General features: G+C 42.1%; 1 protein-coding gene across 15 annotated transcripts in view; it reads right to left on the reverse strand.

The window, feature by feature from the left end:
* SLC1A2 (solute carrier family 1 member 2) overlaps positions 1–12069 on the reverse strand; it is a 169303-nt gene that overhangs the window by 102564 nt on the left and 54670 nt on the right. For 2 of the 15 annotated variants that reach the window (XM_047427441.1, XM_047427436.1), the window contains exon 1: positions 5629–6359. The exons of the other annotated variants lie outside the window; for them this stretch is intronic. In XM_047427441.1, the coding sequence (XP_047283397.1) occupies positions 5629–5729 (101 nt within the window). In that variant the 5' untranslated portion in view covers positions 5730–6359. Of the gene's footprint in view, positions 1–5628; positions 6360–12069 lie in introns of those variants that run through there. 15 annotated transcript variants of the gene reach the window in all.

The raw sequence follows: 12069 nt of genomic DNA on the forward strand, positions 1-12069 counted from the left end.
TTAAATAGTATTTAGGCATTTATTATTATTGTGCTTTTGCCCCGCTGGCTCCCAGTGACTCCTTACTCCTATTTCAATTACAGGCCAAAGCCTCCCTTGAAAGGATGTTAAGTGAATAAAGAGTATGATCATAGGACTTAGTGCAATATTAATATACATTTAAACTTTAAGGAGGGAGGATTTCAACAGACAGCACTGTTAGAATGGTACCACTGGTTAAAAATCCTATAATCCTGGCAACTACTGAGAAAAGTTTCATGCCTAGAAGAGTCCCTAGAAACCCTTGGGTCTGATCGTTATACAGATAGAAGACCAAAACACAAATCTATTACCAAATGGCAAAGGTATCCTATTAGTGGCATACTGGGACAAGAGGCCTTCTGATATAAAAAGAAAGTCTTAGCTGGGTGCAGTGGCTCCTGTCTGTAATCCCAGGGCTTTTGGAGGCTGAGGAGAGAGGATTGGTTGGGACCAGGAGTTTGAGACCAGCCTGGTCAATATAACAAGACCCCGTGTCTACAAAAAAAAAATTTTTTTTTAAATTAGCCAGGCATGATGGTGCACACCTGGAGTCCCCACTACCAGGAAGTCTGAGGTGGAGGGATTCCTTGAAGCCTAGGAGTTCCAGGCTGCAGTGGGCTACGATTACACTACTGTACCCAGCCTATGTGACAACGCAAGACTATGTTTCTTAAAACTAACTAAATAAATAAATAAAATAAATAAAAAATCCTGAAATCAAAGGATCTGTGTTGGCCCACCTCTTCCAACGTTTCTCTTTTGCCCTAACACAGTGGTTCTCAGCCAGGGGCAATTTTGTAATGTCTGGACACATTTTTGGTTTTGCTGCAAATCACCCCCCAAAACAAAGAATTATTTTGACCCAAATGCCAATAGGGCCGAGGTCGAGAAACCCTATCCCAACAGATGTCAGGGAGGCAGAAGGAGCCAGCCATGGGCAATTCCTTACACTTTTTACCCCCAACCGCCCGCATCCCTGTCACCCAAGAACACATCTGAGACTTTGCACCACATACTGAAATACGTGCCTACTCTCATGTGGACACAAATAGATACCAGAAGCCTGGCCTAGCCCCAACAGAAACATGACACATCTTCCACGAACAGCAAAATCTTCCTGAATTTCCTCCGTTCTAATTATACATTTTCCCATATTTTAAGTTTTCTGAAAATGGAATGTGTCTCATAATGAATGTAGTTTCCCTTATCCCAATGCTGTTATAAAATCAATGGAAACTCCTATAAATGATTACATTTATAATCAGAGAAACATGGTAGTTTAAACCATAACATTTACATAGAAATACAAACAAACAATAGAGCATGATGTAAAAATTTGCTTGGTTTCAAAGAATTTTTCCCTTGTGGCAGGCCCCTTTGGCCAATGTGAGTTCAAACTCTTCTACCTTGTTGGTAGAGAGACTTAAAACATTATAGAGTTTACTCTCAGGATGAAAAAAGGCCAAAGGTAAGACGGTCTGTGAATGAGACCAACCATGGTGAGCTCACTTTCAGAATCTCAGCATCAGAGAGACCTGACTTCCCTCCTCCCAACCCTTCACACCCTCCTACTGCATCTTCACTCCAATAATCTTTGATGGCTTTTTTTCTGTGTTTTTCCATAATTCGCACCATTTCAGATGATTAGCACTTGTAAGTGTACTGGAGTTCACTGGGAAAAAAAGCATCCATGGGTTGTGCCTGCTGACTGCCTTGTTTTGCTGCGTGTCTGCACAAAACAGCAGGAAGTGGTCAATGCACCAGCTGTAGAGGGAGTGAGGCCAGTTATAGATCCAGTCTTAACATCTTAGTTGGTTGGGCGTGGTGTCTCACACCTGTAATCCCAGCACTTTGGGAGACTGAGGTAGGCGGATCACTTGAGGTCAGGAGTTCAAGACCAGCCTAGTCAACATGGTGAAACCCCACCTCTACTAAAAATACAAAAATTAGCTGGGCATAGTGGCATGTGCCTGTAATCCCAGCTACTCGGGAGGCTGAGGCAGGAGAATCACTTGAACCTGGGAAGCAGAGGTTGCAGTGAGTCAAGATCATGCCACTGCACTCCAACCTAGGCAACAGAGCAAGACTCCATCTCATCTCAAAAAAAAAAAAAAAAAAATCTTAGCTGATGGTCTCCTTGAACAAGTTAGGTAACTCTGAGCCTTGGTTTTCTCATATGTAAGGCACAGCAGATGGATAACAACACTGTCCATTACAGAGCTGTTTCTCTTTAGTTACAAACAAAATAATTATGTGAAATACATGGTGCATGGCCAACTGCCCATGAAAGTTGGTGTGGCCTTCTGAGCAGGTTGTAGGATGTCTAGCAGTAATGATTCTAAAGATTCTATAACTTTGTACTTAGCTACACTTTGAGAGTTCCTGAATGAATTGAATACCATCAAATACACCTAGACTGGGGGACCCCATGATGTTTTTTTCCAAATTCATCCTCACAAACTTATAATCGACCCATACAATATCCCTAATTGATTTTGAACAGTGATGTTATGGGCAGGTGTGTGTTTGTTCTATAAAATTTCTGGGAATAAGATCCTTGACCTCATTGGTGTCCCGAGATAGTAGAAAGGCTTAGTCAAAAATCTGCTAATGTTCCTGGGCACCTCTGGCCATGCGTTATGGCAGTGCACTTGGTCAGGTGGCTAAGACTCAAGGCAACTCCCAGCACTCCCCTGGAACCCTGGGCAGAAGGCCCTTGGTTGCAATGTGGGCAAAAATGCGGTGCATTCCAAGACACCTACTTTTGATCAAGAATATAACGTATCTTTTCTCTGGGGCAGCAAAATTCAAGGATCCTTCTCAGACATTTGAAATTTCTTCTGAGGGTCTAGAATATTCCTTTGCTCTTGTCGTTTACGCTTGTCTTGAAACAGACTAAGCAGGTGAATGGCATTGACAAATGTAAAATCTCTGACAATTTAGAGAGAATATTAAGAAAAATGGGGAAAATGAGAATAAAAGTAATCCTTATTCTTTCAAATATAAAGTCTTTATGTAAATTTTATTACATAAAAATGTAAAACTAATTTTCTGATAACACATTATTTAAGTATTGTTATTTCAGGCAATAATTAACTTTTTACTCATTTAATTTGCTCATTTTTATGGCAAGCATTGTATCTCTTATTATAAAAAAGTAAGATCTTTTAGGCTGGGCATGGTGGCTCACGCCTGTAATCCCAGCACGCTGGGAGGTCGAGGCGGGCAGATCATGAGGTCAGGAGATCGAGACCATCCTATCTAACATGGTAAAACCCCGTCTCTGTTAAAACTACAAAAGAAAAAAGAAAAAAAAAATTAGCTGGACATGGTGGCACATGTCTGTAAACCCAGTTACTAGGGAGGCTGAGGCAGGAGAATTGCTTGAACCCAGCAGGCAGAGGTTGTAGTGAGTCGAGATCGTGCCACTGCACTCCAGCCTGGGCAACTGAGCGAGACTCTATATCAAAAAAAAAAAAAAAAAGTAAGAGTTTTTAAAAGCAAATTCAAATCCATTAATTTTAGATCTCTATTAAAGGCAGAAAATCTAAATCAATGACTTAAATTAGACAGGAGTGGGGCTTTGTGCAAACAAGTACATTCGGACAACATGAGAGCAGTATTAATCAGGCTTAATCTTTCTCAAAATGGGTAAAAAGCATTATAAATCTGTTTATGTTCATGAACCTCGTAACTTCATTTTGGGAATATGGTGCATGGAACAATCTCTAAGTAAAATAAATGCAATACAAAGATGGTCATTTGCAACACCACTTATAAAATAAGAAAACTGGAAACAATCAAGTCCAATTCCTGCAAAATAGTTAAACAAATGACACCACAGCAATAGTGAAGTATAACAGAGCCATTAAAAGACAGAATTCCTTACCCATATTCTCATATGGCAACCTACTGCATGTACATAAAGCTGAGCATAGTCAGGTCCTACATATTGTCCACACAATATAAGAGTGACCATTAGGACAACAACCAAGGCTAGAAAAGAATTTAAAATAAGAATTTTATAGTATATTAAAATGGTTTAAGTTCTTTTTCTTTAAAAAAAGGGGGGAAAGGCAGTGTGCCATGGCTCATGCCTGTAATCCCAGCGGTTTGGGAGGCCAAGGTGTGCAGATCACCAGGTCAAGAGATTGAGACCATCCTGGCCAACGTGGTAAAACCCCGTCTCTACCAAAAATACAAAAATTAGCTGGGTGTGGTGGCAGGTGGCTATAGCCCCAGCTACTTGGGAGGCTAAGGCAGTAGAATCGCTCAAACCCAAGAGGCAAAGGTTACAGTGAGTCGAGATTGTGTCACTGTACTCCAGCCTGGCAACAGAGCAAGACTCCGTCTAAAAAAAAAAAGGGAGGTGGGGGAAGCCTAGAAAACAGATATAAAGTATGTAACATGATCTCAAATAGTATTGATGTATGTTATGACTAGAAGGGGAATACAACATTTCAACAGTGATTATCTCTAGTTGAAGAAATTGCAGGTGATTTTTTTCCCTTATGCATACATTTATATGTTTTAATACTGCTCTGCAATGAGCATGTAGAACTTTTATGATCATAATATTAATCATGTTTTTAAAAGCTGAAACTATAAACAAATGAACTTCAAGGAATTCATTTTAAACAGGAGAAATAGGCCAAAATGTGAACAGAATAAGTAATTTATATTATTGTAGCAAGGAAAATTACCAGGTTCTTCACAACTTTGTATCATCCACACTGCCAAGCAAATACAGAAAGCCCTTGCTCAAATCCAATTTTTCCAGACTTTCTCAATGTTTTCTGGTTTCCTGAGTAACTGCTATTTGCAATTTCTGTTTCATTTGACTTCTTTATTTTATTTTTTTATCATCATCTTGGACTTCTGAAAAGAGAAACTAACATGTGAAAGAACAGAGTACTGAATATTGTCCCACTTCTGGTAAACCCTAAAGCTGCACCCAGAACCTAGTGAACACTGAATAATGTGTTGAGAGAATAAATAAGTACTAGCCATTTTTTCCAATAATGGAAAAAAAGAAAGAGTAATTTGAAGGAATAAATGAATAGCAAGCGGGAGGCGGTGGTCATTGTCACACCCACACTCTACGTTGCAAGAGGAAAGAGAAATACTTAACAAGGACCCAGAGAATAACATGGGACCAAATATCTTATGCCTTTAGTACTATTAAAAAATACCTTTTTCACCACAAAAGCCAGACCTGCTAATTTTCCCACCAAATACAGGCAGCAGTGCAACATCGCTGACACTTTTACTTTAGATCTTTGGACCCAAGACTTTGACAGCAGGGTAAACTGCTTGACAATAAAATCTTAGTTAAAGCCACTTGCACTTGCTAGTGGAAATACAGCTATCACACAACAGGGAAATGGCAGAGCTGCAATTCATGAATTTTCATTTGTGTCAATTTCTTCACAGTGATGGCTGAAGACACTAACATTAGAACCTGTAGAAAGAACATGAGGCTGAAAGTAGAGGACATATTCATTAAGGACTGCGTCACACACTTTTGGGTTCTTCAATTCTTCAAGATCCAATCATGGATGATGATTTTGATTTAAAAAAATACAGCTTTTCCAAGTCACCACTTACCTGCTATACTGCAGAGAAAAAGCTGTCAGCTGCTTTAAAGTTTTCCTAGCCAGTGTTTTGACCTCAAAGACATCAAAAACTGTCCTATCGACTGCTGTCATTTGGCTCAGGAGCCCAAGGTCACTGTTTGTTTGGATGTTGTGTAATCATGAGAGTAAAGTCATCATCAGTATCATGTAATTAATATATTATTTAAGCAGTCATTTCAAGGGGAATAATTTGATGTGGAAAGATAAAAATAACTCTGGTTCTTCCATTAATTCATTAATTCATTCAGCGTACCAAGTACTTGGCTCACTGCCAGGCACTGGCATGCAGAGACCTGTGCATTTTATTCAGCATCCTAAGATGTTTCAGAAACCAATTGTTTTTCCTGAAAATCAGATTATATTTCCCAACTCTTACTCCTTTCTCTGAGCCTCAATGTTCCTAAGGAAGATCTCATTCACAGGAGCGAAATCACATTATTTCAGCCCCTGGGAAAAGCAAGTGTCTTTGCCAAATACCAAAATAGGCTCTCATGAGTGTCTTATAATAACCTATTTTTCTGCCTTTTCATTTCTCCTCCCTCTCCAGGAATGCAAACTGATTCCTCCCTTCTCATCACCCCTCACAACCCACCCTTAACCCATCCAAGATTTCTGACCTGACCATTCTCTCGGCTCCAGGAACGTGCTGGTCACGTAGTGCTGGAGTGAGCTGTGCCTTCCATCACAGTCCTGCTATACTATAGAGGAAAAGCTGTCGGGGGCTTTAAAGTTTACCTACCCAGTGTTTTGATGACAAAGACGTCACAAACTGTCCTACTGACTTTTGTCATTTGGTTCGAGAGCCCAAGGTCACTGTTTGTTTGGACATTGTGTAATTATGGGAGTTAAAGTCATCATCAGTGTCATCTTTGGCCTTTGATGTCCCTTTTCTCTCCTTAGGCAAGAACCATGGCTGTTTCCCTCCCACGTTTTGTGAATTTCTACTTGGTTATCCCAGCAGCCTGTGGGTAAGCCCCTGAGCCTGTCAGTAGCTCTGACACCAGATGACCTTCCCTGGGTGCCTACCTTCACTTCTCTAACACCACCCTTCCAACCCCAGTGACCATTAACCATTTCATCCTTGGAAGACTTGCTCTTTGACATTTAACCCTGACCCAGTAAAGTCATTAGTCTTTAACTTCTAAATCCCAGTGTAGAAGAAACTAGCTCATTTTAAGGCCCAGAGATGCCCCAGCTTCTGATCTTTTCTTGATGCTTAAATTCTAAATGTTCCATAGCTTAATTTACTCCTGGATTTTGTGGAAGGACCTCTCTTTGTTTTCTAATTAAATGTAAAATGAAAGGTCAAGCTGTTGTTTTGAGGTAGGTTTGGACTCTAGTCTCCATGTCACCTTCCATGGCTTCCATAAACCATAACACCATTTCTCAGATGTGCCTCTCAGAACACTAATCACCTAAAATGTTCCTGCATTTATTTTGTTTATTTATTTATTATTATTTTTTTTTTGAGAAAGAGTCTCATTCTGTTGCCCACGCTGGAGTACAGTGGTGCAATCTCGGCCCACTGCAACGTCCACCTCCCGGGCTCAAGTGATTTTCCTGTCTCAGCCTCCTGAGTAGCTGGGACTACAGGTGCCCACCAGCATGCCCAACTAATTTTTGTATGTTTAGTAGAGATGGGGTTTCACCATGTTGGCCAGGGTGGTCTCAAACTCCTGACCTCAAGTGATTCACCTGCCTCAGCCTCGCAAAATGCTGGGATTATAGGCATGAGCCACCATGACTGGCCTGCTCCTGCATTTTAAGATGATGGGGGTCAAATCAGATTTGACAGAGCTGCCCACTTTTGGAGGCTAAGAATGTACATTAGTTTATTAAAGGCTCTGAGAAATTCTGCAGTGAAGAAACATTCAACTTTGCTTAACCAAGCCATACCCAAAGTTACCCAGAACATGTTAACTTTTTGTTTGTTTTATTTTTCTTATGTAAGAACTATATAGATGTATGGATTTATTGATCCAAGGAACATACTCTGAAGCAATAGTCTTCTATATAAAGATCAAGCTCCCTAACATAGCACACAGGCCCTCTGTGTCCAGGCTGGCCTCCCTCACTTCTGGAGAAGGCCTTTGTTACTCGCTCCTCCTTTCTGCTTCCCCCACCCCTTGTCAGGCATCAAAATCTCCCATATCATGGCAATCCTTTAGGTTAAGAAGAGGGGACAAATGGGTGAGAACACAGAGGACTCTGAGTCTAAGCCACAGAGTTGGATTTAGTCTTAGGGTAGAAAGGAATAAAGGCTTTTGTCAGCTGGGTACGGTGGCTCACACCTGTAATCTCAGCACTTTGGGAGGCCTAGGCAGGAGGACTCCTTGAGCCTAGGAGTTCAAGACCACCCTGGACAACATGGCAAAACCAAGTCTTCCACAAAAATACAAAAATTAACTGGGCATGGTGATGCCTGCCTGCAGTCTCAGCTACTCCAAGGGCTGAAGTAGAGGATCACTTGAGCCTGGGAGGTTGAGGCTGCAGTGAGCCACGTTCACACCACTGCACTCTAGCCTAGGTGATAGACACAGTGAGACCCTGTCTCAAAAATAAATAAATAATTAAAGACTTTTGTCATCATATTGGTAGGATTCAGGCTGCTATATAGAATTATTAATCTGACCAGAGGTTAGCACAGAGAATGGAGCTTCAGTTCTCACCTGGTATAGGCAATGGTGGAGATCGGGCCAGGGGACTCTCCAAACTACCATCTACCCCAGACAGCAGATGCCCAAGATGTTTTGCATGTGGCCTGATGCAGAGCTCTGCTCTGCACAATCCCCGCAGGTGTCTGGATCATCTAGACACACTCCTCACCATATCTGTGGCTCTTTCATAGCTGTCTCTGGCCCCTCCCTGGGCCATTTCAATCCCAATCTGAAATTTTCACAGGAGATATAACATCTGAGAGAGGACTGTTCTTCAGTTGGTTCCTAATAGCAGCCATAGATAAATATGTTAAAATAAAGAATCCTGTGGCCTGCAGTGGACATCTTTTGGAGCACCACCTGAGATTCCAATCCTACTTTCAACACTCATGAGCTGTGTGGCCTTGGACAGATTATCTAACATCTGTGAACCTCAAATACTTCATTCATACAACAGATGATAATAATAATAACTATTCACGGGACTGTAGTGAAAATTAATTCCATCAATACATGTGAAAGTGCCTGGAATGTGGCATGCAACATATGGTAACTATTATGATTATCCTTACTATGTTGTATTTGTTCATTCCACAAAAATTTCTTAGGCAAAACAACCATTGACTTTATGAGCCTTAAATGGCCTTTGAGCAACTTTGCTTTTGAGAGTCGCCATGGGAATCCATGGCAAATCCACAGCAAACTGGATTTTCAGGTCTCATGTCTTAGCAGCCTGACTACATCCAACTTCTAGTTGCAGCATCTACTCCCCCTTTTGGTGACATTTATCACTTTAGGACAATGATACTAGCTAATCTTCACTGAAGACTTACTATGTGCCAGCCACATTCTAAATGCTTCACATTTGGCTTGTTTGAATCTTTCAAAAACCTGATGAGGTAGCACTACTATTATTCCTATTGGGGACAAGAAGAAGGCACAGAGAGACTGAGCAACTTGCTGAAGTTCACAAAGCAGGTCAGCGGCAGACCCTCAAAGTCGGACTCCTGAGCCAATGCATGTTACTATTGCACACCCTGCCTCTCACTGGAGAGGCTTACTGTCTCTCTAGAGAAGGGGAGGTGTGCAGCATGAATGTCATAAAGGATGGGAAGTGGAGAAGCCAGGAGTGGCTGCAGGTGAGGTTCAGAAAGCAAAACCATCTTTTGGGTGTTGTGTATTCTGCCCCAGATGACAATTTTGGGGTTGTTCCAGACCGTGGATGTCTGAGTAGGAGGCAGACAGCAGGCTGTTGCCTGGTAGTGGGGAAGGAAGGGCGGATGGCTTGGAGCTTGGGACACAGCTAAAGTTGCTACAGATGCCTCTTCTCGGTTGCCAAAGGTTTTGTAACTTACAAAATAGGGAGCTCATTGGAGGGTTTCAAACCTCATTTGGGGTACAGGACCAGAGAATGCCTTCAGATCTCTCCAGGCTGTCAAATTCCAGGATACAAGTTCCCCCAGGGACATCTCTAACACATCTGGCTTGGTCTCAAAATGACAGAGGAACTAGCACTTAGAGCACTTTCTGTCAGCCAGTTGCTTTATACTGAGTTCTTCCAGCAACTCTCTGCACGGAATTATTATTATGTCCATCTTCTTGATGAGGCAAAGAGAGAGAAAATAACTTGCTCCAGGACACGTGGCTGACAAGGTCTGGAGCTAGGACCTGAGCCAAAGAAAGAAGGAAGAAAATGATATCTGGGTGTAGTACTTGGTACTCAATAGGTGTTTTGAACAGGAGGGGCATCATACCTTTTCCTCACTGATTGGTTCTCATTCAAGCATCTACAAAGGACCAGGACACGGAGGTGTACAAGGCAGGCTAGGTCTGTACCTGCACTGAGTGGTATTTCCTGTTCCACCAAAGACAAGAGCTTAGCAGGTGGCAGGGGCACCGGCAGAAAGAGGATGACCCTCAGACCCAGGACCCTGCACTGTTTTCCATTGCTGCCATCCCATGCACAGAGGCTGGATTGAAAAGCAGCTCTTGGAACAGAGTCTGCTTGCTCTGACACTAAGAACACCATATGTGTCCCTGCCACAAAGGGAGAGAAGACACTCCCTGCTGTTCTGGAGGTGGTGTCCAGGAGCTGGCAAGCAGCCTCTTGGCATTTTATTTCAATAGCTGAGGGTGGGGGCTGTGGGGAGAGTTAAGCAATGGAAAGTTTTCCTTTGTGCTGCCCTCACAAGGCATTTCTGGAAAGGGTCAGTTTGGGGTGATTCATCATCTACCCATGTAGACTCACACTGAGAAGCCAGCTCAGATACTGTGATTAAAAATACATTTCTTCTCACCTACTTTCTTATTAATATTCTGTAAGTGTACTAAAGGGGCCTCAGTCAATAGTAAGAAAAGTTCATTTACCCAGTAGTAGCTACACTGGCTCTAATCATTTGGTGAATGTAACTATCTACCTAAAGACTTGATTTTCTTTTCAAAGAGCTATGGTAAAATGCCAAGCACTAAACAATCCAGCAAAGCAATTACTTGCTCAACAGTCTGCTGAAGTTTGAATACCACTCACTAACTACACACATTAGGTAAGTGATCAGATTTCCCTGAGCCTTAGTTTCTTCATATGTAAAATGGAGATAATCAGGATACCTATTGTAGTCATAGGTTAATACATACACACCCCCATGATGGTGCCTGGAACATCACCTGCACTCAATACAAGTTAGCTATCATTATGCACACTCAACCTATTTCTTAATATTTATGGTCATTTATTCTCTTACTGTGTGTGCCAGGTGCAGGGCTGAGGGCTTATAGACATCACACAATTCAGTCCTCAAGACAACCCTGTGAGGTGGGTATTAAGCCCATATTACAGATGAGAAAATGGAGAAAAAGAAGTCCATACCTGGTGGATGGCAGAGCAGGGCAGGTTCATCTGAACGCACAGCCAATGCGTTTTAGAGTAAGACTGTGAAACTAGCAAGAGAGAAAACCTTATGATCTCTGTTTAACAGGTCAAGAAACTGAGGCAGAGAGATGTTAAGTGACAAATCCACATCCAGTTTTGTTTGCACAACACATGGGACAAACATCAAAGTGGATGGGTCAGGAGATGATACTGAGGAGGCCGAGGAATAAGCTGGCTTTCTCCCTTGACTAAAATAATACAGCAAAGGTGCTTCTGGTCCCTCTGGGGCTGGGTTGTATCCATGCCATTTGGGCAACTCCTCTAAGTGCCTCCAAAGCCCTTGACATTGCTCCTTACACATGATCAATGATATGGTAAAGCTGGTGTAACTACAGCCCTGCCATCAGCCTGGCTCTGAGGTCAGCATTTCCAGCATCAGTCTCAGTGTAGCATTCCCAAGTCTCCACAATCACCAAAGATCATAAACGGTGTGAGTTTGAATCCTTGTCGTAAAATCTGCTCCTAGGAACCCAAACCAACACAGAACCAAAGTAACACATGCCATTTTCAAGCAGAAACATTAACTTCTACATGTGGGATCACTCATCCGAAAAACTCCTCTTCATCCTTTAAAACCCCGCTCTGCTGTCTCTGTCTCTGCAGACTTCCCTGACCATCCCCAGCCTGCAACAAAAGTGATGTTTACCACTCCTGAACTATTTCTGTTTTCTTTACATAATTCAAATTGTTGTTACCCAGGGTGGACTGGCCATTACAGTTTATATGTCTGTCTGTCTGTCTCTCCCATCAGGCTGTGCACACCTCCATCGAGGCATCCACAATTTATTTCAGTTCCTTGGGAATTAGCAATGCATATATGGTCTAC

The sequence above is a fragment of the Homo sapiens genome, chromosome 11, assembly GCF_000001405.40.
Source record: "Homo sapiens chromosome 11, GRCh38.p14 Primary Assembly".
In the NCBI taxonomy this organism is placed as follows: domain Eukaryota; kingdom Metazoa; phylum Chordata; class Mammalia; order Primates; family Hominidae; genus Homo; species Homo sapiens.